General features: G+C 44.3%; 1 protein-coding gene across 6 annotated transcripts in view, besides 6 other annotated features; it reads left to right on the forward strand.

The window, feature by feature from the left end:
• FAM110B (family with sequence similarity 110 member B) overlaps positions 1-11,855 on the forward strand; it is a 154,262-nt gene extending 142,407 nt beyond the window's left edge. For all 6 annotated transcript variants that reach the window (NM_147189.4, NM_001377989.1, XM_047422400.1 and 3 more), the window contains one exon: positions 8,978-11,855. In NM_147189.4, coding sequence (NP_671722.1) covers positions 9,302-10,414 — 1,113 coding nt within the window. In that variant the 5' untranslated portion in view covers positions 8,978-9,301 and the 3' untranslated portion in view covers positions 10,415-11,855. The remainder of the gene's footprint in view (positions 1-8,977) is intronic.
• Positions 8,783-8,962: a silencer, noted in NCBI's record as "silent region_19215". NCBI's record gives its function as "represses an Ori minimal core promoter by ATAC-STARR-seq in GM12878 lymphoblastoid cells {active_cell/tissue: GM12878}" and the evidence as "EXISTENCE:reporter gene assay evidence [ECO:0000049][PMID:35858748]".
• Positions 8,783-9,477: a biological region, named in NCBI's record as "H3K27ac-H3K4me1 hESC enhancer GRCh37_chr8:59058363-59058965".
• Positions 8,875-9,477: an enhancer, noted in NCBI's record as "H3K27ac-H3K4me1 hESC enhancer chr8:59058363-59058965 (GRCh37/hg19 assembly coordinates)". NCBI's record gives its function as "activates a minimal SCP1, AML or CMV promoter by ChIP-STARR-seq in naive H9 embryonic stem cells {active_cell/tissue: H9 hESC(naive)}" and the evidence as "EXISTENCE:reporter gene assay evidence [ECO:0000049][PMID:30033119]".
• Positions 14,422-14,491: an enhancer, noted in NCBI's record as "active region_27405". NCBI's record gives its function as "activates an Ori minimal core promoter by ATAC-STARR-seq in GM12878 lymphoblastoid cells {active_cell/tissue: GM12878}" and the evidence as "EXISTENCE:reporter gene assay evidence [ECO:0000049][PMID:35858748]".
• Positions 14,861-14,970: an enhancer, noted in NCBI's record as "active region_27406". NCBI's record gives its function as "activates an Ori minimal core promoter by ATAC-STARR-seq in GM12878 lymphoblastoid cells {active_cell/tissue: GM12878}" and the evidence as "EXISTENCE:reporter gene assay evidence [ECO:0000049][PMID:35858748]".
• Positions 17,787-17,886: a silencer, noted in NCBI's record as "silent region_19216". NCBI's record gives its function as "represses an Ori minimal core promoter by ATAC-STARR-seq in GM12878 lymphoblastoid cells {active_cell/tissue: GM12878}" and the evidence as "EXISTENCE:reporter gene assay evidence [ECO:0000049][PMID:35858748]".

Here is a 26,338-nt window from a genome sequence, read left to right on the forward strand (position 1 = left end):
TGAGATTTGACCGGCTATTTTTCTCCTACCACCAGATTTCATTTGTAATAATGGCTTTATTGTTTACTCTAGCCTGTTTCACTCACATAACTGTTTGCTTTGAAATTTGAAACTACATATTTTCTCTGTAACTCAAATAAAAATGGGGTCATACAAGTGACCTTTTAGCCAGAAACTGCATGGTCAATCCTCTTTGACAGAAATAGCACAGGCCGTATCACTTGAGAGTAATGGAATCCTTTTAAGACAAAAGATCATTCATTTACCATAAACCTTGAAATCTAATGATGGTGATTATCAATGCCAAGTTGCAGACACTGGGGACAGCATTTAATAATAGCTTACATTGGCCAGGCACGGTGGCTCATGCCTGTAATCCCAGCACTTTGGGAGGCCAAGGCAGGCGGATCACCTTAGGTCAGGAGTTTGAGACCAGCCTGGCCAACATGGTAAAACCCCGTCTCTACTAAAAATACCAAAAATTAGCCAGGCGTAGTGGCAGGCGCCTGTAATCCCAGCTACTCAGAAGGCTGAGACAGGAGAATCATTTGAAATAGGAGGCGGAGGTTGCAGTGAGCTAAGATTGCGCCATTGCACTCCAGCCTGGGCAACACAGTGAGCCTCCGTCTTAAAAAAAAAAACAGCTTACGTTTACTGAACAATTTCTGGGCTGAGCTCCTGACCAAGCACTTTCATGTGTCACCTCAAGGAATTCTCACCCCAGCCAGTGAAGTGTAGGAATCATGGTTATCAATGTTCCATAAATGAGGAAACTCAGGTACACTAGCTGGAGAAACTTGCTCAGGGTCAAGTGTCCTGTGTTCTTTTTCCGTGCCCTAAGCATTTGCCCCACTGAATTCTCATTTCTTTGCCTGGATGAAATCTCAGACAGGACCTGTAGCCTTTTCAGTTCGTCTTCAATAATTTAGTCCCCAGATCAGTTTCAGACCTGGAAGAGTGCTGCCTCACATCAAGATCAAAACTCCACCTCTGGTCCAGTTAAACTGGTTTCTCTTCTCCCAGCTCAGGGCCGCATTGGCTTGGAGACCCTGTGAAGAAGAAGCATCATTTTCCCCTTTACTTGCTCCAGCTCCTCTCCTGCTCCTTATCAGACGGCTCTACCAGCCTCTACTGGGCAGACCCTGCATTGCGTAATGAGCAAGGGACGGACAGAGCATTCAGCGGAAGTGACAAGGTTTCTCTCCCTGGCTCTTGCAGTGGGAATCAATGTCCCCTGGGCATGGCACATTTCAGAGCTGGTTCTCTCTGGGAGCTTTTGGGTTCCGTGGAGGCAGCCACGCCTCTGCTCAGCTAGTGGATGCCCCCAGCCTTCTCAGAGGAGGGCTTTGGGCAGACATTGTTTTCTGTTGGCCTCCTTTGAGGGGACTTCTTTGAGAATACTCCTAGACCACCTTTCCCCGGCACATGTGTGGGCCGAGCAAACCCTCATTTTTGTGCCTGTGGAAAGGCAGCTTCATCCTGCCTGTGTGATCTGGTTAGAGAGTCCATTACAGACTCTGCCCTTAGACTTCTCAGACTGGAGGTATAAGCCAGTTCCCAGGCTCCTCAGCTCCAAGGGGCCTGTGTTGGGCTTTTTTGGGTGGCCTTGAATTCAGCCCCAGCCAGTGTGAGATGAGAGGAGGCTATGGCCACCATTGTGTAACTGAGCACCGAGTGAAGGGCTTTAGGCAAAGCTATTCCCATTCCAGTAGACTTGCTAGCTTGCTTCGCCCACCTGACATCCTGTGAAACCTTTGTGGGTAACAAACTGTACCCAGTCCACTCCCTCCTGACTTGCCACTTGGAGGATCCTGTCACAACGTAGTGCATATTCACTTAAGTCAAAATAACTTTTCCGTTTGATCAACACGCCTGTGTGAGTTTTGTGCTGTTGCACTAGTATTCCTCAGCACACCTCAGGAGCACCACTGGGGTGGACATTCCTTGACCTGTATCTGTAAAAACGTTAGAAGGTAAAAGTTGGCCTTCCCTGCATCTCTACACCTGGTTCAACATTTGCTTCCCATCCTCTGGTCATATAGAGTAGATGTGTCAAAAGAAACAAGACTTTAAAAGGTTGCTGAAAAAGTGGAGAAATGATTTACTCATCTTGTCGAAAAAATTAAAGTGCCTAATTAAAACAAAATAATGGAAACACAGAGCAAGAGGATACTTTATTAAATAACATTGGAAGACCTACTGTAGTCAGCTGAAAGAATACGCTAAAATATGACTAGACTACTGGAATGAGAAGTTTAAATATTATTAGGAAAAGTCTGTGGTTTTAAAGAATTTATAACATGATAGTGTTGTTGTCAAGAAGATTATTTTACTTGCAATCCGGAGCTGATTGCTGATGGCAATGCTAAGGTCAGAAAGAGAAGATTCAGGCATCAGAATTATAGATGGTGAGGGATTTCACCATGGAGATAAGAAAGAAAAAGACACAGCATTCAGTAATTGGAAAAGTGCAGGTCCTGAAAGGGTGATGGTTTTGACTTAATGTTTCCAGATGGTTGGCCCTCTGATTTCATACTTTCTGTCCAATTTATAGTGTGCAAAGTCAGTCTTTTTTGGTCAGCCTTTTACTCCTCCATTCGCTCTTTCACTTTTCTCCCTTACTTTTGCATTCTTTACAAGTTATGCTCACAGTATAAAAGGGGTTAATGAAAGTGATGATGTGCTTGGAAGAGAAGGAAAAGGGAAGATGTTGAAAAGCATAGCATATATTATGAATTAAAATGAATAAATACTTGGGGAGGCCGAGGTGGGTGGATCATGAGGTCAGGAGATCGAGACCATCCTGGCTAACAACGGTGAAACCCCGTCTCTACTAAAATTACAAAAAAAATTAGCTGGGCATGGTGGCAGCTGCCTGTAGTCCCAGCTACTCGGAAGGCTGAGGCAGGAGAATGGGATGAACCCAGGAGGCGGAGCTTGCAATGAACCAGGATTGTGCCACTGCACTCCAGCCTGGGCAACAGAACGAGACTCTGTTTTAAATAATAATAATAATAATAAATGTCTAAATAAAATGGATAAAGGAAGCAATGGAATGGCATTGCTGTTGGTTAAAAATGGCTCAGGCAGACGGAGCAGCAGGAATGGACACAGTGGGTGTGGAGGGACCACTGTAGTTGTAGTTCTGTTTGGCTTAAGCCCAGGGTGCAGAGGAAGAAGGGAACAAGGATTGGAGGGGAGAGTGTATACTTCCTGCCAACCACTTCTCCGTAGTCAAGTGGGAAGCTGGGAACGACTCATCCTCAACATGTACCTCCTCACCCTCTGCATCCTGTCTGTCTCCCAGTTCAGCCCAGCGTGCCTCTTAAACATCTCTTGAAACTGTCCACTCTTTTCTCCACCCTAAAGCCACCCTCCTGCTAAGAGTGAAGTGAATGAAAATGCCTGTGTGCTCTTATTTAACCCACTCAAAAAGCCCTCAAGAGGTAGGTACTATTGCTATCCCCATTTTCCAGATGGGAAATCTGAGGCACGAGAAGATAAAGTGAACTGCCCAAGGCTACTCAACCATTACGGGGCAGAACCATAGGCAGTGCCATATTGGGCGGTGCTCAGAGCCCAGCTGCCATGACCCCTTCCCTGGGAAGCTCTGACTCACCTCTGTGCAGCCACACTTAATCCCCACTCATCCTGTCCCCATACTGCAGCCAGGGGAGTTTAAAAAAATACAAGTATGACCATGTCACCAATGCTCAATTACCCAATAAAATCCAAAGTCATCTGCCTTTCCGCTACACCTAGTTGGCCTCTGACCGCTGTCCCCTAGCACTCCATACCAGCCACTGGAGTGTCTTGAATGTACCATGAACTCAAAAGCTGCCCTGATGAGGGATGCCCTCGCCTCCTGGGTCTTTATTGGAGTTTGTCTCCTCCTTACCCTTCCTTTACCTTCAAGTCCTTTGCCACAGTCCTGCCAAATTTATTTTCTACATCATTCATTCGATTCACATTTACCAAATGCATTTTGAATCTTTTTTTTAAGTTCAGGATTTTTCTACGTCTTACACATAATTGCTCCACCAATAGGTACTAATTAATTGAACACAGCCATAATTCAGTCAGTACTCTTGTATTGTAAATGAATCTCTCTTCCATTTGTAAAGAATCCAAAAGTTCACATTGCCGTGGGAAACTGCATTTTTACTTCAAAGACAAGGATGCGACTGTTCTTAAAAGGGAAGCCAAGAGTATAGATATGAGAGTGATCAGAGTCAAGTTGGAACCTGATGCTTAAAGTTAGTAAGCACAAATACTATTACCAGAAAAATCAAAAAGCAGTGTTCCAGAGAACAGTTTTACACATATTGTAAACGTTTTGTTATCTGGCATGTTAGGAAGCTAGAAGAATCAGTTCTAGAATTCTTAATAACTTCAAAGGTAAATTGCTTCTTTTATTTGCTCCCAAGAATGTTTGAGCTAAAGACATTTTTCAGCTCACCAGATTGAACACATTTGTTTTTATAGATAAGAAAATCAAGACACTTAGATGTTAGGTGACTTAGAGCTGAATTACTCAGCCTTGCTCTTTCAATACCCCCCTTTTCCTGCTGTGAGACACAGGGGAATTACTCATTCTCACATAGAAACTTCTGTGGGTGAATCCAGGTTGTGTTCAGTTCCCAGGGCCCTTGCTCTAACTCCAGTGCTTTCTTTCCTACTTAAAATTTAAAGACTAATTAGGCATTAACTATCCTTTTCTTTTTCATTACCAGAAGCACTCTTTAAAGAGGAAGTAACAAAACAGCAGCCCAAATGTGGCCAACAGTGTTTTTAATATTGAATTTTTAAATCGGGAGAGTTTGTGCAGAGCTCTGGATTTGCTGTTGCGTCAACAATGAGCCACATTCCCCATGGCAGCCCGTAGCGGGGGGCTCCTTTCCGAAGGCCACACACTCTCCCATTATCTGCCTGGCCTCAGAGGCTTTGAGGCACAAATTGCCCGGATTACAGGAACTTTGGCTTTAGCATTTTTTTCAAATAAACTGTGTATGAGGTTCATTCTCTATATCTAACCACCTCCAGGATTGCAAATGTTCTTGAGGTCTCCCCAAGGTTATAGTTCAGCTGAGGGTCCTGTTCACCTGACTGCACCTGTTCACCTGACTGCACCTGTGAGGAGCTGGCAGATGGGAAGTTAGAAAGGTTCAGGCCACTTTGGTTTTAAAAACTTGGAATTCTCTGAGATTGCTATTTCTGTGCCTAAAAAGCTCAGACTTTTGCTCATTCAGAGACAAGTAACTTTGGCCTGTTTCCTCTGTGCTGGAGGCATTTGGGTTCTAATGGGATGCTGGCTAGCACAGAAATGGGCTTCCCCCCTTTCCTGTTGCTACTCAAAGGCAACAAACAGCATCACCTGGGATCTGGTGAGAAATGCGTAATCTGGGTCTCACCCGAAATCTACCAAATCAGACTGTGCTTTAAGGAGATCCTTGAGGGGTCTGCAGGCCCATTAAAGTTTGAGAAGCACCACTAGAGTGAGTAGTGGGAGATAACATTGCTCTTCCTTGTCCTTGGGTCCTTTGTCCCCCAGCTGGCTCTATGTGCCACCTGTTCTCCCTGCACAAACCAGGACTCCCCCACAGATGATGTGCTCCCCCACCCCGACCCCTGCCACCATCACCCCCAGGCCAGATTGCTTTTGAGTTCACATTTGAGTTCATATCTGCTCTGATTCAGCGAACCATTAGCACCTTGGCTCTGCCAAGTTTCTTTTCCCCAGTCCTTTTTATCCCTTCATGAAATTTTCAAATGGATGTTAAACAGGGTAGAATGTAGCCAAGATGGTTTATGAATCGAAGTTTCTCCCACCCTCAGGCTGTGTTCTCTGTCCTGAGTCATAAGTCAAGGATCAGGCAAGGCTATATAATTATTTTTGTTGATGAAACCCTACGGGGCCAAGATCTAATTTTCCTTCCTCAAAACAACACGAAGCCCCTCTCAGCCTGGCGGTTGGCCTATCCCATCAGTGCCTGACTGCACCTCAGGGGGCCTGTTCAGGACATCAGAGGGCTGACAGCAAGGCCACAGCCAGTAGAGTATCATGTGCCACAGTGCTCTCTGAACAGACGTCATGGTTATCTCGTACAAAGTCTACACTACAAAACTCAGAGTATTTCTCCAGCACTGTATAGCTCTGTCCCAGCCCACACTGTTTCACAGTAAAAAATAAAAGAACCAGAGTTAAGGATTAAGTAAATATTACAAGAGACAGCAACCTAAGTCACCTGCTTATTTTTGAAGTAGGTTTACTTTGTTGGCTAAACCAGGTAGAAAACTTGGAGTATGCCTTAGTATCCCACAACACCCCAAACAGTATCTTTAGTTTGTTCTGTTGCTTTTGGGTCTTCCAATAAGATGAAGTTGTTTTTTTTCCTTCCCAGAGTTCACATCAAAACTATAAACTCTAACCATGGTCATGTCAAAACATCATCACTGTGTTGAAAATTATTAGGGAAATTGGGAATAGCAGAGGAGGAGTGGGAAGGGGTAGAAGCCAAAAGGAAATGAAGTATGAAATACTTGCAGATAATTGCTATGTGTGACATAATTCTTTCACACAGATTTTAAGATTAGTAATTGTTGAGGGGTGTGGAACAATTGTGAGTGCTGGAGGAGCCGTCTTGAGGGTGTCTGCCACATGAATAGAGAAAGCAGTGTGCAAGGAAGACAAGCAGCTTTCTGGAAAATGCTTCTTAGAAGATAGACTGGTATTCCTCACTCTTGTGAATCGACAGTCAGGCTTTTTATTCAGTGTTGCCAACAGTACCAAAGCCTACCTTAACAGACACGCAGGTGTGCATGGAAGGCCACGCCAGTGGTGTAGGTGTTTTAGGCTTCTGGTCCTAATATGATAGAACTAGAAGAGAAGATGGTTAGAAGAGAAGCACAGGCCTGCATGAGGAGGAATGTTACATGAGAACTACAACTCATCTTCAGAGAGCGTTGGCCTAAGAACAGTCAGTGCGGGACCATAGAAAAATTCAGTCATTCACCAATATTCCAACACGCCATTTTGAAACTGGAAGTAATTCCTTCATTCTTAGATCCTCAGAACCTCACGATTTTACAGTACGAAGGGATTGAAGGAATCTTGTCCAACTAACTCGTGCCCCAGGAGAAGGGAGATGAACTTTGTCTCCCACTGCCCACTAGGTGGTATTCCCACTCTAGTCCTCAGGCACAAAGCTGAAGGTTGCAGATCTTGGTCCTGCCCCTCACTGTGCCCCCAAACTTTCTGGTATTGTCCTGGGGTCAGCCCTCTCCCAAGGGTCCCGGGTATGATGACCTCGGAGTTGCATCCTGGCCCAGGCTCTGCTGCCTGTTCTGGCTCTGAGTCTCTTCTGTAAAGAGGATGAGATTGTGCCTCCAGAGGAATCGGGGCTCCCTTCTGGCATTTCATTCAAAATGTGTTCAAAGAAACAATCTCATTTCATCTTAATGGGAGGAGGTGTTTTTTGTTTTTTATACTAAATTGAGGTATCAAAATAGAACCGCACAATTAAAGGAAATTGTTAATGTAGGTATTGCCTTGGGGTTTCTCAAATCTTGCACAGGAAAATATTTTTATTAGAACAAATCCCTTCACAGATTACTAAAATTATCTCTAACAAAACATGGTGATGGGTTGCATTTACAGATTTAAGAATTTCAGGAAATTATAAGGAGAAATACCAGCAGATGTGGTTGTAATATGACTTTATTTATTTTGTAAATTAGTTATTTGGCATGTTAGTTGAATAGGTTACTCTCTTAGCATTCCTAATTATAACCAAAGATGCTGTTAAGGTCATTAGCCCCTTGCTTTGGAGTGCTGATGCATTTGTAAATGTTCTCTGCCTGCAGTAACAGGCTATGGGAGGAATTGTTTCCAGGGGCTGCAGGGTAAGAGTTACATTATATGGCATATGAAATAAAAAGACTCCTTACAGAATTACAGTAGGAATATTGATAAACGTTCAACTATTGACAAGTGGGTTTTATTGTTGTTGTTGGCTTGGTAGTCAAGTTGTCCCATGAAAGCTTACCTATTACCCAAGTTTTCTATAGTATTAAAGTAACATATTTTTAGGTATGATTGGACACTTTTAAGACTTTGTTCCTAGTACTGTAGAGGATTTGGGAATATACATACCATGAAGAAACTTTTGATTTCTGCTCATTAAGTATGAAAAATTATGGATAACTTAGGGACAATCAAATTATCTACTCATATGGTAAATTTGGAAGTATTTCTATGGATCTTCTAATGTTAAAAAAAAATAAGCTTGTGTTTAATGGGTGGAACTCCATACACATTTGTGGTTTTCAGGAGAAAGTTTTTAAATATATTGGTTGGCCAAAGTAAGATAACTGAAACGTGTTGAGGTTTTTTTTTTTTTTTTAAACTTTGTAGCTTTGCTGCCAATCCCATTTCTTGCCCTTTTCAGTTTATGAAGTTAAAAAAGTGACTGTTGCAAGTATTCCTGAGAAATTGGTAGTACAGAGGGAGAAGTTTTGCTTCATTGCAAAAGAGATAATTCACGACGTTGCAACCGGGGGGCATGGAAGGGATTCGTAGGAACTCAGTGGCATGTAATGAGCTGGGGAACAGGGCTTGGCTAAGCCCTCATTCCTACGTTCATCAAGTATTTGCTGGGTTTTGAGCTGAGAAATGCCAACCGGGCGTGTTCAGAAGGCGGATCTCACCAATCCGGAGGCAGCTGGAAGAGTTCGCGCGTGGGAAACCTCAGCCCTTTCTTTCTTCCCGGCACAGCGTTGTGCTGCCGCGCGTCGGCGCAGGCGGGGGCGCAAGGCCCGGGTCGTCCCCCTCGCGCGGTCGGGAAAACAGCTACTGAGCTGCGGCCCACGACCCTCGGCCGCGCAGGGGCGGGGCGGGGGCGCTGCGGGGTTTCTCTGTTGCTAGAGCCGTGATGTCACCCGCCCCTCCTAACCCGCGGTTGGTTGTTTTGTGTTTCAGCTCTGCCTGCAGTTGAACACAAAGACCTGGAGGAGACTCCCACCTCCTTCAGGGAGAAGAAAGGAGGCAGCGAAGCAGATTAAAGGAACTTGTGGCTTGTGGCCTTTTTGTGCAAGGGCCGCCTGGAAGGGGAGAAAAGTGTATGAAAGCCACCGTGGCGGTTAATGAGCTGTGAGATGAGGCGCTGCTGCGGCCGCTGCTGCTGACACTCGCTCCCAGGCTGCACCCGCCGCCCTTGGCGCTTCATGTACATGTGTCTATTCAGGCCTTGCGGAGGCGCCCAGAAGAGCATCCAACACGGCTGCCGGGGAAAGACCGCCCACCATGCCCACGGAGACCCTACAGACAGGTAGCATGGTGAAGCCGGTCAGCCCCGCGGGCACCTTCACCTCTGCTGTGCCCCTGCGCATCCTGAACAAGGGGCCAGACTACTTCCGCAGGCAGGCCGAGCCCAACCCCAAGAGGCTCAGCGCCGTGGAGAGGCTGGAGGCCGACAAGGCCAAGTACGTCAAGAGCCAGGAGGTGATCAACGCCAAGCAGGAGCCCGTGAAGCCCGCCGTGCTGGCCAAGCCCCCGGTGTGCCCGGCTGCCAAGCGCGCACTGGGCAGCCCCACGCTCAAAGTGTTCGGCAACCACGCCAAGACCGAGAGCGGCGTGCAGAGGGAGAACCTGAAGCTGGAGATCCTGAAGAACATCATCAATAGCTCCGAGGGCTCTAGCTCGGGCTCGGGGCACAAGCACAGCTCCCGCAACTGGCCGCCCCACCGGTCGGAAGCCACTGACCTGCACCGTCACTCCTTCGCGGAGTCCCTGAAGGTCTACCCCACGCAGGGCCGCAGGAGCCCGCAGGAGGGCGGCTCCCACGTGGGCAGGAGACTGCTGGAGCAGTCAGCCGAGTCCTTCCTCCACGTGTCCCACAGCTCTTCGGACATCCGCAAGGTGACCAGCGTGAAGCCCCTCAAGGCCATCCCCTGCAGTAGCTCTGCCCCTCCCCTGCCTCCCAAGCCCAAAATCGCAGCCATCGCCTCCATGAAGTCCCCCGAGGCCGACCCTGTGGAACCAGCTTGTGGAGTCAGCCGAAGACCCTCCCTCCAGCGGTCTAAGTCAGACTTGAGTGACAGATATTTCCGAGTGGACGCGGACGTGGAGAGGTTCTTCAACTACTGTGGACTGGACCCGGAAGAGCTGGAAAACCTGGGAATGGAAAACTTTGCAAGGGCTAATTCTGACATAATATCCCTCAACTTCCGCAGCGCAAGCATGATCAGCTCAGACTGTGAACAGTCTCAGGACAGTAACAGTGACCTTAGAAATGATGACAGTGCCAATGACCGCGTGCCGTATGGCATTTCTGCCATCGAAAGAAATGCTAGAATCATCAAGTGGTTATATAGCATCAAACAAGCTAGAGAGTCACAGAAGGTCTCCCATGTGTAAGACAGTGCGTGGAAAGGAGGGAGCGTGGGTCTCTGTGCTTACGCAGTTGTGAAGGTTGTGAGGTCTCCTTGAAGTGTTGTGAGCTTCTCCACTCTTTGTGTTGCTTGTTGTGCAATGTTTTCAAGTTGCATGCTTGTCAACATGGGGACTGACCTGGCTTCCACGTCACCATCGCTACAGAGCCTGGCTGAACACGCGTCATCTGCCAAAAGTTTCAGGCCAGAATCTAATTAGGGCTTTGCTCGTAAGCAAAACTGTTTACATGAAAATGGTATACAACTTCTTCGATATTTATGTGGTTCTTGTGTTTTTATATCCCGCGCTATTGTGTCTTAATTAAAAGTTTTATCAACTGGCTTTTAAGTTGAGAGCAGAATCTTTTTGAAATAAAAAGCCACTTTGCCTACATGTGAGACTATTCCAGTGGGACAGTAAATGGGATCTGCTACCAAACAGATAATGACTGACCGAACATAGAACCAGGCTGGGTTTTCTGTGGAATAAAGTGGTGAGCCTGACGTTAATCGTTTACATGTTGAAATTCTCTTGCCACTTAGTGAAGCAGTCATTGGGGTAACAATGCTACGTTTTGTGTCCGATTCAGTGTGTAAACGTTGGTGGTTCTATGTAATACTGACCCCAAGGAAAGACGATCAGATACAAAGAAAGATGGTTAAATCTAGGAGGTTGGGTGTTTGGGGGTTTTGTTGATGTTGTTCTGATTGGGATAATTCAGAAATTCCTAATATTATCTTTCGACAGAATGACCACCCTAAAACAAATACTGAATGCCTTTAAAAAAAAAAAAAGTTGTGGTTTTTTGTTTTTTTTTTTTTTTTTTTTGGTCGAGAACTACTAATTTCATGCTATTTCTTTCTCTCTCCCTTTGTTGTTATTTGATTTGGGGGAAGGGAGTGAGGCTTGTGCAGATTTGAGCTATCTGAAGACATGAACAGAAGTCAAATACCAGCCATATCAGTAGAGCCTTCCATTCAAAAGTGAACACACTTGGTAGCTGAACCATATCTGAGCAGCGTGATTCTGTTGTCTTGCATATGTTATTCTCTCAGGCTGTGGATCTTTGTTACAGCTCTAGGAAACTGTAGAAATACAATGCTATGTAGCTTTTCCACCCCATGGTCTCTAGTGCTGCCTATCAACTTGTCCCCTTTTTTCCCAATAACCTGTCTTCCAGGTGGTACAGTTAGCTGTCACTCAGCTGACACCATGATGTGGCAGCAGAGAGGGAAACCTACAAGTGGTTTGCCTCATTGCCTTTGCCACATCTGAAGTTCTCAGCAGCACTACCTTAGACTTCATGAGCTAATAGGAAACTTTTTATGGTGTAAATGCTGTAAGACTTTGTACATACTTCAGTTGTTATGAAATCTTTAAAGAAAAAAAGAAAAAGTTACGCTAATAAATTGCTGTGGTGCAGGCACTAATGGTGGTGGTTTCTCTTTGTCCTGTATTGCACAAAAGTTTAACTTTGGACTATGAAACAGAAGCAGATTTTTGATAGGCTTGAAGAAACATTATTTCATTAAGTTATTTTCACCATATTCCAATTACTCTAAACACCAGTGTTCTTAATTGTGGCTCTAGCAATGTGCTTTTGCTAAACTGATTACATCAAGGTTCCTAAAATGTGCTGCAGCATCTCAGTTCACACTTGTGTTATTTTTGTCTTTTCTTAAACATCAGGATTTTTTACATCTTCCACACAACTCTTCAGTTATAAATATTTTGAGTTCTCACCTTGGAGGCACACCTTTGAAATGTATGGCTTCGTTTTTATTTGTACCAGCCCAACATCCCTACCATGGCATGTGTTCACACACTCGCTCCTCCACTCCTTCCTTCATTCCTCTTCAAAATGTCACTGTTTGAGTGACTCATTTCAGGTATCATGGTAGGCACGGGACTGCCATAGTCAACAACACAGTCTCTGCCTCAAGGAACTTAGATTTTCCCCTTTATTTTAAGAGAAATAACATTACTCTTAGTGGACATGCTCTATCTGTTATATTTGGACAATGAGTATTCCATGATTATTTATTGCATCAAGTTATTTGAAATTTAATGCTTCTTACAAAATTCCATATACTATGCAAATGTAAAATGAAGCCCTATTTAAAAGGTAATTTTCAGAAACAAATTATATGATTCTCAGCTATTACTGTTTATAAATATCTTGCTTCTGAAAAGCAAATTTGCTTCCTTGACTCTTTCCCCTGGTTTTGAATTCTGCCTGGATTTTTTATTCATGTTCAGTAAAACTAAAACCCTGCTTCCCAGAAGAACTGTTTTGGAATGCAGCTATGAGTGGGGGTGATACAATGTGTTCAATATAATAGAATAAAAATAAGTTTTCTAAAAAAAAAAAAAAAAAAAAAGCAAAATTTTCCTTCCATTTGTGTAGAAATGTGGCTTTTTAAAACATTCATGACTTAGCATTGACATATTCATCTCTTTTAGTAGTATTCATCTCTTTCTAGAGCTACTGAAATACCAAAAATAGATATTATTTTCCTAAGGAAACTCTTGTCTGGAGAGATGAGCACTTAGCTAATTTACTATCACTGCTTGTGCTATTTGAGTCATAGACAGTGTTTGAATCTTCCAGTATTTCAATACTGTGTGCGATCTGTATTCAGACAGGCCTATAAATCACCCCACTATAATTCAGTCGAATCCTCTGTGGTCTTACTTGTACAACAGACAGATGTGAGGCTTTTGGTTCCAATGGAAGATGGGCGCTCTTTATTTTCTTTTTATTCTTGAACTAGCATTTCTATAAAGAACTATTTCAAATGCTTAATATTAAATCCTTAGAGTGTGGCATTTCTTGTGAAGTACTCGTTGTGATGGGCTCATTCTTCTAAGCTCGTGGAAGTATCGTGTGTGTGTGTGTGTGATGATATTATTGGTATAAATATGGTATTACCATATAATTCACATTTTTTTTCCTACACAATGCAGAGTGAAACATGATTGCACTAGATGGCCTTAGAAACTACCTGTTTCTTTCTGAAAACCACCAAATCTTAAGACAGTCCTCCCATATGCAACCCCTCTGCCATTGCCTTAGTTCATATTCTCATCATCTCTTACCTGAACTGTTGATTCTAGAAGTTCCTAACTGGAAGTCTCCCTCACTCCCCAACCGGCCTCTTCCTCATTCCATTTCACGCCACAAATACCATCATCAACTCTGGTCATGTCACTCCCCTGTGTAAAGACATCCTCTGGCTTGAATTGGTTGCTGATAGGCTAAATCCTAACTTCCTATAACAGAGAAAGTTGGGCATATGACTCTCAGATCTCGGTCACCAAGCCCAGGCCCCCAGGCTCCAACCGAAGGGAAATTTCCTCTGGAAACTTTTCACCGCTGCATTTGTGATCTGTTGTGTAACAAATTGTTCCAAAACTCAACAACTTAAAACAATAAACAATTATTATCGTAGTTCCTGTGGATCAGGAATGCTAGAGTGGCTTAGCCAAGTGGTGTTGGCTCAGGGTATTTCACGAGGCTGCAGACAAGATGGCGGCTGGGGCTTGACCACTTCCAAGATGGCTCACAAGGTATTAGCAAGAGGCTTCAATTCTCTACAGCATGGGCCTCTCCCAGGGGCTGCCTGAGAGTCCTTATAACATAGGATCTGGTTTCCCCTAGAAGGAGTGACCAAGGAGAGGGAGCAAGGAGGATGCCACAATTCCTCATACAGTTCAGTGTCCTGGGTCACACACATTCAATGTGTGTGATGGCTGTCCATCACATTCAGTTCACTCAAAATGGGTCACTAAATATAGCTCCCCCTCCCAGGGAGCAGAGTGAGGCCCATATTTTAAAGGGAGGAATATCAAGGAACTTGTGGACATGTCTTAAAACTACCATTGCTGCTGAGTTTCAGTAGCTCTTCACTGGAAGGAATGCTTTCTCCTCCCTCCGTGACCACACAGACACTTGCTGTTTCAATACTCAACACAGTCATCAATCAGTGCAATTTTTTTTTTTTTGAGTTTCTATGTTGCCTTTCCCCATTAGATTATATTTTTTGTCATGGCCATGACCCAGCCTTTTCTAGCCTAAATGGTCCTTTTGTGTGAATTTTAAAAAGGTGTGCCTTCCTCAAAACATTTTATTCCCTGCCAAAAAAAAGAGAAAACATCCTAATAAACATACAAATCTCTAATGACTGTGATGCAAACTGTGGTCCCAGAGTTGGGCAGCAAGCAACAAACACAGCAGCCCAGGGTGTATAATAGGTGCTTAATTAGTATGTACTGACTTTTTTTTTCCACGTTCCCGTCCTGTGCTAAACTATAAATGTTGCCACAACAAACCCAAAGTGATAGTTATTGTCCCCATTTTAGAGGTGAAGAAACTTAGTTCCATGGAGATTATGCACCTTAACTAAGATCCCAAAGAAAGGAACTTGCAGAGTGGAACTTGAAACTCAACTCTGATACGAAATGTTTTGAGGAAGCCATGCCCTCCCTACAGCCCAGTTGAAGACAAGAAGAGGCAAACTAAGTGTGTTATGCTTAAACACAGAAGGGTCCTTACATTCATTTTGATTTTTTTAACCGATGCCTGTGTGAAAAAACAGTCCTCAAGCAGTCAAAACTTCAGCGATTTCATTTGTACCTAAATGGGAGCCCATAAAGTTAGAAAAAGACTTCAGCTCTTCCACTGTGAGTAACACACAGCCCACTGAGTTCAAAGAGACAAGGACATTCGAATTGTGTGCTTTCAGTTTTGAGTGTGCCATATTTTAAAATCGCATCCTGTCTGTTTTGATCAAGGACTTTTAGAAGGATGGAGAAAAATGGCCACAATTCAACAATCAGGAAACACATTTTGACTATTTGGTGAGTCAGCATCACTGCGTTCTCCCATCGTTACAGGTGTAGCTGGCATGTTCTGACCAGAAGTAGTAAAGAGGGTAAGGATGCTCCAGATAAACCGAGTAGATTTCTAACTCAGTCAGAAGAGATGGCTAGTCTCATCAGCATTTTGAAAACACCAAACCTGACTTGTCCACTTAGCCCTGTAAAATAACTCGGCTTATGTCACTTTCTACAGTGCTGAACAAGAGCTGAGCTAGAAAGACCCCAGGCTGGGTGGCTGTGTGTGTGGCTTTGCACAGGTCACCTTCGTGAGGGTTTCTCCTGTGTGTTCAGGTCCTGTCCCCTTGCTTTGGCAGAAACTCTGGAAAAGGAAAAGCCAGAAGGAGATGGGCCTCGGCTACCTTTTAGAACCCCTTCCTCTAATACCTGGGACTCACCTGCCTCAAAGTGTGCCGCCATTCCCTCACCTGGAAAATGGGGGGAGGCCATCAAACGGATGTGAGCCCTTGGCCTCAGGGCTCTGGGACAGCATGGATAACTGTTTTTGAAGCATTAGGATGATGTGTGAAGAATATGAGAATTCAGAGAAGACTGGGTTCATATCGTGGGCAAGTAAGACAGCAAGTGAGGCCCTAATGGGGGCCAAACACCTAACGGAACAGCATTTTATGCTCTGTCTACCTTAGAGAGTGTTAATTGGAGAAGGAAATGAAGGGCTCTTTTCTAAATGGAAGGAATCTCCAGAAAAAGCCTCACTAAACTTTCAGAATGGCAGAGGCTGACAGAATCGAATGTGGCCGTGTTCACACCGACATACCATCCAAAGTTGTGAGGATAAACATTATGATAGTCTTTTACTAGTTGAATGTTCTTTTCATGTGACATTAATGAAACAACTATTAGCATGTCTTAGATGGACACTATGCTAAGCACTGTGTCACATTATCTCACTTTATTCTCACAAGAACTTTAGAAGTAAATTAAAATCCATCTTACTGATGAGGAAGCTGAGGATTAAGTTTCCTCTCCAAGGCACACATCCAGTAAATGGAAAAAGCAAAACACAAACCCAGGTTCATAAAACATATCCTAAGACTCATTCTGTGCATATGAAAATGAACTTTTAATATCTAGGATGGCAGGAACCACTTTTGCTTCTTTGCAGTAAGTTGCATCACATAACATTTCTCAGAACTTAAAACACTGTTGAACATACTGGTTTGTGATTGTTTCATAGAGTGAGTGACTCAAAACTGTTGAGCGTATGTGATCACATCAGGACCCAAGTTTCTGGGTTCTTCTGAGAGGGACATTAGCAATAAACTGTCCCTCTCCATGTTACTGTACGAAGGAGAAAACGGAGATCTAGATGAGTGAGGTGGTGGACACAGCCAGGGCTGTAGGGCAAGGGAACTGGCAGAGGGGCTGGAACAGGGAGACAGCTGCTCAGACCCCATGAAGGAGGCTGGATCAGGGAACAGTGGAGCCTCACAAGGCTAACAATTCCATCGTGCCAAGTAGGAGCAACCTGGGTAACATAAACTCTGTTTTTTTGTTTCGTTTTGTTTTGTGACAGCGTCTCGCTCTGTCACCCAGGCTGGAGTGCAGTGGCGCGATCTCAGCTCACTGCAAGCTCTGCCTCCCCAGTTCACGCCATTCTCCTGCCTCAGCCTCCCGAGTAGCTGGGACTACAGGCACCCGCCACCATGCCCAGCTAATTTTTTTGTATTTTTAGTAGAGACAGGGTTTCACCGTGTTAGCCAGGATGGTCTCAACCTCCTGACCTTGTGATCTGCCCACCTTGGCCTCCCAAAGTGCTGGGATTACAGGCGTGAGCCACTGCACCCAGCCAACTCTGTTATTTTTATGCAGTTTCCCTTGACTCAAAAACTATGTATCAGATATTTAAAGAAACCTTGATTTAGAGTTTTTCTGTTAATATACATTAACTTTTTAAATTAATCCTAGCAAACATAAAATACTTAATAAAGATGGAGAAATTTATCTAAGGAAGTTTTTGTCAATTTTGGAAATGAGTACCACTGTCTTAATATCATTTTATTAACTTCACCATCCATAGATGCCCAGTTATCCTCAATATCTCAAGAACCATCTTTCCAGGCCTGGTTCCTCTGCCTCCTTGTCTGCTGAGGTGGACATTGCCACTGGTTCTGATATCCCCTTCTCTCTCCTTCCAAGATCCTAGGAGAATGGCATTTCTACACCTCATAGCATTAGGTGTGGCCAATGAGCCACCAACAGAAGCGACATGTTACAGTTGGGAGGCAGCATAAAGAGCCAGCCCACGATTGTCTTCTCTTCTCTTCCTCCTGACATGGCAACCAGCAGAGTCCCATAGGGCGGAGCTTCCGTTAGGATCCTGAATGAGGACAGTGTGGAACAAAGGCCTCCATCCTAACCCAGAAGGACTATGTCAACCCAGGGGATAAACTTTATCCTTCTAAGCCACTGATAGTGTGGGGCTCTTTTTTTACTGTGGTACAGTCTATCCTGTTCTGGCTACAGCCTCTGTTGAAGTGCACCCAATCTGCCACACAGGAGAGACCGCCATGCTGTCCCATCAGGAGGGGGTGGTAGGAAACAGAGACCAGGAATCCACCTTTTCACAAGTGTTCCCCAGATGATTCATGTGCAGTCTTTGCTTTCACAGATGATTTTCAGTGTTGCTAACTGGAAATCAGGTGAGAATATTGTAGTTGCCAGATACTTAAAAATACTTTGATACATTTTAGAACCACAATTACAAGCTCTAGCTTTTTGGAGGCTTATTTTCAGAAATTTAAAAAACGCATTCAGTTGTACCTGCCCACTGTGACAAACTCGGCAGATTGAAATCAGGTTGCAACCTCTGTTGATTTCCAATATCCCAATGCATTCTGGCCACTGTGATCTGTCATGAGGACCACCACCATAGCCTCTGAGTGGGTGTCCACCCTGCTCTTGCTTCCCTCAGTGTATTCCCAGAAAGCTACCAAAAGTGATCTTTAAAAAGCAGAAATCACATGGTGTCATTCTGTGGTTTCCATTGCAGTTATGACACAATTCTTTTAAAATGCCAAACTTCAGCCTGTAAGGCCCTTCAGTAGTCCCTCCCGACCAGGCCCCTTGCCCTCAGCCCCCATTCTCTCCACTCTCACCCTGCTCTGGGCTCCTTCTCTCTCTATGCTTGTGGAACGTACCAGCTCTTCTCACCCCAGTCCCCAGGGGCCAAGATCTTGCCATTTGGCCTTAGTAGACTATTTTTCCCTTGATATTTGATCTTCCTGTTACTGACTTGTCGTCTTAGATTTTGCTTCAGCTGACATCTCAGAGGGCCCTTCCTGCCACCCTATGTAAAGTAGATGCTGTGTTAATCTCCATCCCTTCGTATTTCCTTCCTGGTTCTTTGTAATCTGAAGTTACCATATTCATTAAGTGACTCTCTTGGTCACCTTTTACCTCCTTTACCCAGTTCAGTGTCTGGCACAGGGGTGTGAAGAGTAGGTACCTTTGGAATGAATGGAAGAATCCAAACATGACTCCTCAACTAAATCCCACCTCGTGGCTGTGGAGCCCCCACCAGCTCATGCCCTTCTGCCTCCCCTGTCTCTGTTGCTGATACCACCGTTCTACAAGAGGCAACTGGGCTTGACATTGAAGGGTTTTCTTCCTACCTGTTCTTGGAAAATAAACCAGACAGCATGTTTGAGGTAATGGGAGTCCAGAATATGAAATTCTTTTTACAAAGAGATTTTACAAGCAAGTATTTTTCACTCCTTGCGCAGTTGCCTTCAAAGGAAGGGGAAGTCCTGCTCACTTTGCACCATAGCCCAGAGCCAGGGAAGCTCTGCTGGGGGTGTGGGGCGTGGGAAATAATAATCTAAGACTATTGATATGAGCTGAATCTTGATACCCTCATATTTGTCCCAAAAGACAATGAGTAGCATACTCCTTTTCTCAGCCAAAATACAAAAACTTACCCTTTATGCGAAAATATATCCTTGGGGTAGTGCTGCTGGGTATTAACCATTGAAGCCCTCCTGGCAGACAGTTTTCCAGGCAAATTGGCCTCAGAAACACTTCCCATTTTAGCCTTTCAATGTGTGCACACTGACCTCTCCACCACGGGTTCACCATCCTGTTCTCTGGAAATTCTGCTCACTGGGGCAGAGGGAAACAAGCCATGCGTGAATGCAATTGCTCCCTCAACTGAATGAAACTGTGGTGGCTCGTAATTGATAACATATGGAAGTTCAACTGGGAAAAAGGGAAAATGGGAGAGAGAATTCTCATTACACCACCTCCTAGAATGCTTGGCTTAGCATGTTTTGCCTTCTTAAGTGTAAATAAGTTTGAAGCTTTCGAGGATTTCTAGGCATACATAATCTTTTCCAGTCCTTTCCTCCTTTTTATAATAGATGGAGAACAGCAGCCAGGTGAGGTATTTATGTGCCTCACAAACCCAGCTCCCAGACAGGTTCTGTGAATGTTTCAGTCACATCACTTTCCTCTATTGAGTTCTAGGCCATTTTAAGGACTTGAGCTACTGAGCATTTTATTTTGGTGGAAAACATTGAGACATTCATTTATTAACTTCATGGGCATGTGGTTTTTCACTAACAGCTTTCCCTGTGTCCCCCCAGTGAGCTGACAGCTGCACATGGTTTAGGAATGTGTGGCTAAGGCCTGTGGCTGCCGGAAAATCACTCCACTTGGTTTGGACAAAGGCTTGGTGTGTTCTATCCATGTTTCAGATTTCTCAGAGCATCTCGGTGTTGAAGCATCTGATCTAAAATGAACTCACTTCCCTGAAGACCCCTTGCTCTGAGTTTATGGACTTACTACCATCTGCTGAGAATTCTTTTGATTAAAAAAAAAAATCTATGAATGGAGATCTGGATAGCGTTTTGGGTTCCCAAATGTTTTCAAGTTTAATTCCCCACCTGATACCTTTTAACAGCAGTTTAATGGTTGAGATGGAGTTTTGTGCATTCTGCCGTGTATATACGCACATGTTGGATTTCTTAAGGAATGTATTCCAGACAAATGTGCTGAGGGTCAAATTATACTCAGTTATTTCCAAAACTTAAATCCTGGTGATTTTGGGGTCTGTTCAGGGAGATATGAAATGCTATGCAGACAAGCAGATTGTAGGGCTGATTTCCAGCTCAAAGGGAAGTGTAAAGGATCTTCTTTCCTTGAGCATGTATTTGTTCTTAACACTATTTTCCTTTTGATTGGATTGCTTTTTCACACATTCAGGTTTAGAGGGAAAGAAAAAAGAAAAGGAAAGAAAAGAGAAAAGAAAGAAAAGAAAAGAATAGCAAGTGTCTTGCAGGTGAGAAGGTGACACAGCTGCTGTCAAGGCTGGTTCTGCTCAACATCCATCTTTCTGCCCACCTGCAGGTGCCCACTAGCAATCACTTCCCTGAAGATGGGCACTCTTCTCACCTCTGTATCGCCAGGCCCTAGTTAACTGTGTGGCAAGTATTGGGTGTAGGTGCTTAATGTTTGCTGAATGGATGTGGAGTAGAGAGAACTAGGAGCACTTTGGGGTTCTTAATCTGTGGGGAGAGACCAGATAGGCTTAGTGGGGTGGCTTCCCATCAGTTATGTCCTGTCCCTTCATAGGCTCCCCACACATGTGTGCTGTGGTTCTCCCTCTTTACCTTCTCCATCTCACCTCTCTTCCCTGAGTTGCTGTGATGAACCAAGCATCTCTAGGCCCAAGGGATACAGCAATGAGCCCCCACAGAATAGATGCTCACAGCCATAAGGAGCCCGGCTTCTTGACAGAGAGTAGATCCAATAGCTAAATAGGTCAGACTTATAAAATGTTAGATGATGGCATGCACTTAGGGAAAGAAAAATAAAACAGGGAGGAGAGAGAGCGAGTGGCCTGCTCAAGGAATCATTTGAGAAAGACTAAAGGAAGTGAGGGAGGTGCTCTGCAGATACCTTGGAGAAGCAATCTGGGCTAGAGACAGATCAAATAAACTGCAGGGAGGCCAGCAGGACTGGTAAGGGATGGGCTGGTCAGGTAGGACCTGTTGGCTATTTAGCAATAAGTGTCAATGGGGGGAAAAAAAAGAATGTGCTATAATCAAATTTAGAGGAAACTTCAGGTTAAATGGATGTAAGCATGTTCTGCGGGATTTTCATCGGAGCCTTTAATCTCCGAGAAACAATTTTAGTGAAAAGTGTTTCCTAGGTATTTGAGTCAGGAGGCACTTTTGCAGGAACTCAAGAACTCAATTCTCTGAAGATCCCAGAAGTAAGCTGAGGGGCTAGGGAGGGGATAGCAGCAGAGGCAGACTCTGGGGCCCACCCTCTTCACTGACTGTGTCCCAAATACATCCTACCTGAGCTTACAACACAAAAATATCCAGGAAAGAGAAAAGTCAAATAAGCTGCTGTGTCAGATGACAGAAACGTTATACACATATTATGCTTTCCTGAGATACATTATTTGTTTAGCTAATCCAACTATTAATTACTACCAATTGCTACCATTCAGTAGTCTTATTTTTGTTTAATTAGTAACATTTATGTAACAAAAGTAAATAATATGGAATCGTATATGACTTCAAATAAGCACATAGTTTTCATATCTTAAGGTGATTAACATGTCTATCATATAAACAAATATATACATATGTAGTATGGATATACTATCTATATATATGAATATGACAAGCATGTGTACACTATATATATAAAGTTGTTGTCCTGCTGCTGCGGCTGTGTCCTGGGTGGTCTCTCTGAAAAGCTGGTCCCCCTACCTAAGTTCAGAGTTCAGTTTTCATGGGGACTTGGAGAACGCATCAGCCACCAACGCCACCTGGAGAACAAAGACAACAGAACCAAATAAAACAGTGGAGACCAGCAAACACTCCCGGGGTGGAGTCTCCCAGAGCCAAATAAATCAGGAACCTAGACTGGAGCCAACCACAGAGGCTGAGGAATGTCTGAGAACTTAAAACTCTAATCTCTGCAGCCCAGTAACAAGAATTCACATCTGCTGTCTGCTCCAGGGGAGCACTGGGGACCCCTTCCCCACCGCTCCCTGCCCTCCACCTCCCAGAAGGCAGCCAGCGAGAGGGTGAGAACTGGCTTGGGGATTTGAGAATTTGACTCCCATTGCCTTTTCCTGTGATGAACCTTCAGCAACTCACTGAAATTCCCTGAGCCTCGGTTTTGTCAACTGTGAAATGGAGATGCTATTGCCTTCTCCTGAGTGGTGTGGGTCAATTATTTTGTGAGGATTTCATGTGCGTATACAGTGGCACACTGTGAGGCCTTGTATATCCCCCACTCCTCACTATACTCTTTGCTTTTATAAGGGTCATTTCAGATGCTCAGCAGAATGAACGGTCACCATAAAGGAGGCCTGAGCTTTTTAGAAAACTATTTGCAGGCTGGGCACGGTGGCTCACGCCTGTAATCCCAGCACTTTGGGAGGCTGAGGCAGCCAGATCACTTGAGGTCAGGAGTTTAAGACCAGCCTGGCCAACAGGGTGAAACCCCATCTCTACTAAAAAATACAAAAAATTAGCCAAGCGTGGTGGCACACACCTGTGATCCCAGCTACTCGGGAGGCTGCAGGAGGAGAATCGCTGGAACCTGGAAGGCACAGATTACAGTGAGCTGAGATTGCACCATTGCACTCCAGCCTGGGTAACAGAACAAGACTCTGTCTCAAGAAAAAAAAAAAAAAAGAAAGAAAGAAAAGAAAAAGAAAATTATTTACCACAGGAAAACTTCTTTTATTTATTTTTGTAAATAAAACTTTTTATTTTTGAGGGCCTGGTGTGTCCTGGGTTTTGTGGAGCACAAAGAGAAGTCAACCAAGTGAGTAGAGGGGAGAGGATTCAACTCCCACTGCCTCGAGCTCCTTGCTCCTTCCTCTCCCTTAGTTTCAGTTCAAATCCTAGGAAAACCAAATCAAACTACCTCCTCTCCAAGCCTTCCTGTTGCCTCACATGAAGCAACCTCCTTCCTTCAGATGCTTATGACAATTATTCATAGTAGAGAACACTTGGTAATAAATCACATACAGCATGCTGGCATGTCCTCCACATTAAAAAAATTATTTTTTAATTGTTGTCAAAAATTGTTTGCATTTTACATTATTCTATTTAACTTTCCCACTGAGAAAGCAGTGAGAAAACCCACCCATCTAAATATTCACACTGTGACTTCATCTGGGAAAACCCATTTTGCATACATACTGCCCAGCATTCACTTTAGCATGAATTTACTTTAAGACTTTCTATTTTTTAATCTACAAACATTAACTACAGTTGTAAAAATCACTTTGTTTCAAATGGGGTATAGAGATGTACAGACGTGTGCAGTTAATTAAAGACCTCGATAGACCATCCGTGCTCTGCATTGCACATTCCTATCCCTTTCACTGTGGAAGTCTGCTGTCCAACACCCTTTAGAGCAACTACAGTTTTCATTGTGCAACATGCTTACAGGATTGGGAACATTAGGGAGCTTAATGAAGGGAGGGGGTGAGAGGGACAGGGAACCCAAGAGAAGAGAAGTTTCCCTAAATGGTTGTATACTGTGTTGAGCTTGACTTATTGAAATAAAGCTTTTTGCAAAACTCATTATTTATTACAACTTTCCACGGGCTAGAAACTATCTACACACTGTACCCACTAGATAAGTATATCTATTCACAGTAATTCAGTACTCGGTTGTGTCTTAGCTTGGGCTGCCATAACAGAATATCACAGGTTGGTGGCTTACACAACAGACACCTTTCTCACAGCTTTGGAGGCTAGAAGTCCAAGATCAAGGTGCCGGCATGGTCGAGTCCAGGTGAGGGCCTTCTTCCTAGCTTGCAGATGGCCACCTTCTTGCTGTGCCGTCACATGTTCTCTTGAATCTTTTCCTCTTCTTTTTTTTTTTCTTTTCTCTTTTGGGACGGAGTCTCATTCTATCGCCCAGGCTGAAGTGCAATGGCACGGTCTCGGCTCACTGCAACCTCCACCTCCTGGGTTCAAGCAATTCTCCTGCCTCAGCGTCCCGAGTATCTGGGACTACAGGTATGCACCACCACATCCCGGCTAATTTTTGTATTTTTAGTAGAGACGGGGTTTCGTCATGTTGGCCAGGCTGGTCTCAAACTCATGACCTCGTGATCTGCCCGCCTTGGACTCCCAAAGTGCTGGGATTACAGGCGTGAGCCACTGTGCACAGACTCTTTTCCTCTTCTTATAAGGACACTAATCTCATCATTACTGACCTGCCTCATGACGTCACCTAACCCTAATTACCTCCCAAGTCTCCATCTTCAAATACAAAATCACATTGCGGGTATTCAGTACATGAACTTTGGGAGGATGCAAATGTTCAGTTGATAGCAGTAAGTTTACTGGAAAACAGGCCAAGTGTGGAGACTAAGTGAAAGCAATACTATTTGCAGGGCATGTCTGAAGTCATTTACATGTATAACGCCCACCTCAGGCCCAGAAAGGCTGAGGAGCTGCGAGATCATTCTGTGTCAAACAGGATTAAATGATGCTGTAGATGCTATTGGAAAGTGAACACTTTAGAAGATTTTAAATGTTAAAACCAAAAGAGTTTGAAAGTTTTCTGTGCAAATGTTTCTAACCAGATGTGCATGTGTGTGTGCCTGTGTGTGCATGTGCGCGCGTGTGTTTTCATACTTCTATAAGAGAAATTTTACTCTAGAATTTAGGGATTCGAAAGAATGAGTAGAGCAGACATGAACTTGCCATGTGGGTCTTGTTTGCTGCTTCTTACTTCACCAAAGCTGGTATTTTAAGCACCCTGATTTCATTTCCATCCTGAGACCTTGCAGATAAAATAGATATCCCTATAGATAAAACACAAGGTTGGATCCAGTCCACACAGAAGCCTATGGCAGCTGCAAACACTCTCACTTGACTGCTCCCTGCACACCAGTCACAGGTCAGCAGAAACAATGGGCCTGTCTCTCCAAAGAGCACACCATGTACAGCACAGCTTGTTAAAACTCTACCGACAGTGACCTCCGCATGAGGTGGCATTTCTTGTAAATGACAACAGTTTTTCAATTTGGTAGAGGAGAGTATATTCCCTGAGATGCATAGCTAACAAGGTGACAATCCCGGGTGCTTTCCACAGAACAAAGGCCAAAGTCTGTGTTCTTATGGTAAGATGGCTAAAGGAGTGAGCCGGGACGTCCAACCAGGAAATTTATAGGCAGAAATAGGGGGAAGGGGCAAACTAAGAACAATTCCAGAACTTAAAAAAAAATCTAACGAGTTCAAGTAACTAATGATCCTAGGCTAGATTTTTGTTTTTGGTTTTGCATTTTGATTGACAAGTACTCAGAAGTATGTTAACCTCTAACAAAACGAATACCTAAATATTTTATCAAGCAGAGTCGCTGGTTAGGCCTGATTGCTCTGAGCGTGACCACACTGAGTGGAGACTCCACAGAAGGGAAGTGTCCGCCTGCAGAGAACACCAGGCTTCCCACCACAGCTCTGCCCACAAAGCCCGTAAAAGGGAGGCACAGACAGGAGGCCTGCATGCTAACGTCCTCTTCTCATGAACTGTTTTTGTTCCACTTCGTATGAGGAAACTATAAGCTACCTATTGTCAACTGCACTAATTTCACATATTCCTCTGTGTCCTCAGAAATGAGGCATGTTGGTTTCGCCTGTGCAGGACCCACCACCCTCTTCTGTATACAACACCCCTAATTTCCTTGAGGTGCTGAGGCTCCCTGTTACCAGTTCCCCTCACCACTGGCTGAGGGTGTGACAGGGACTCAGAGAGGGCCAGTTAGAGAGTGTGCCATCTCCCAGGCCACCTGCCCCATCTATGTCCCCTGAGGAGAAGTAGGGGAGCGGCTCTGGGCTGAACAAGCGAGGCAAGATAGTCCTGGAGCTATTGGGGCCATCAGGTGCAGTAAGGCCGAGCTGGGACTGTTCAGTCATTCCATCTGGCTTGCAGTTCTGAAAGAAAGAAAGAGAAAGGAAAGAAAAAGAAGAAGAAAGGAAGGAAGGAAAGAAGGGAGGAAGGAAGGAAGGAAAAAGAGAAGAG

The sequence above is a fragment of the Homo sapiens genome, chromosome 8, assembly GCF_000001405.40.
Source record: "Homo sapiens chromosome 8, GRCh38.p14 Primary Assembly".
Lineage (NCBI taxonomy): Eukaryota > Metazoa > Chordata > Mammalia > Primates > Hominidae > Homo > Homo sapiens.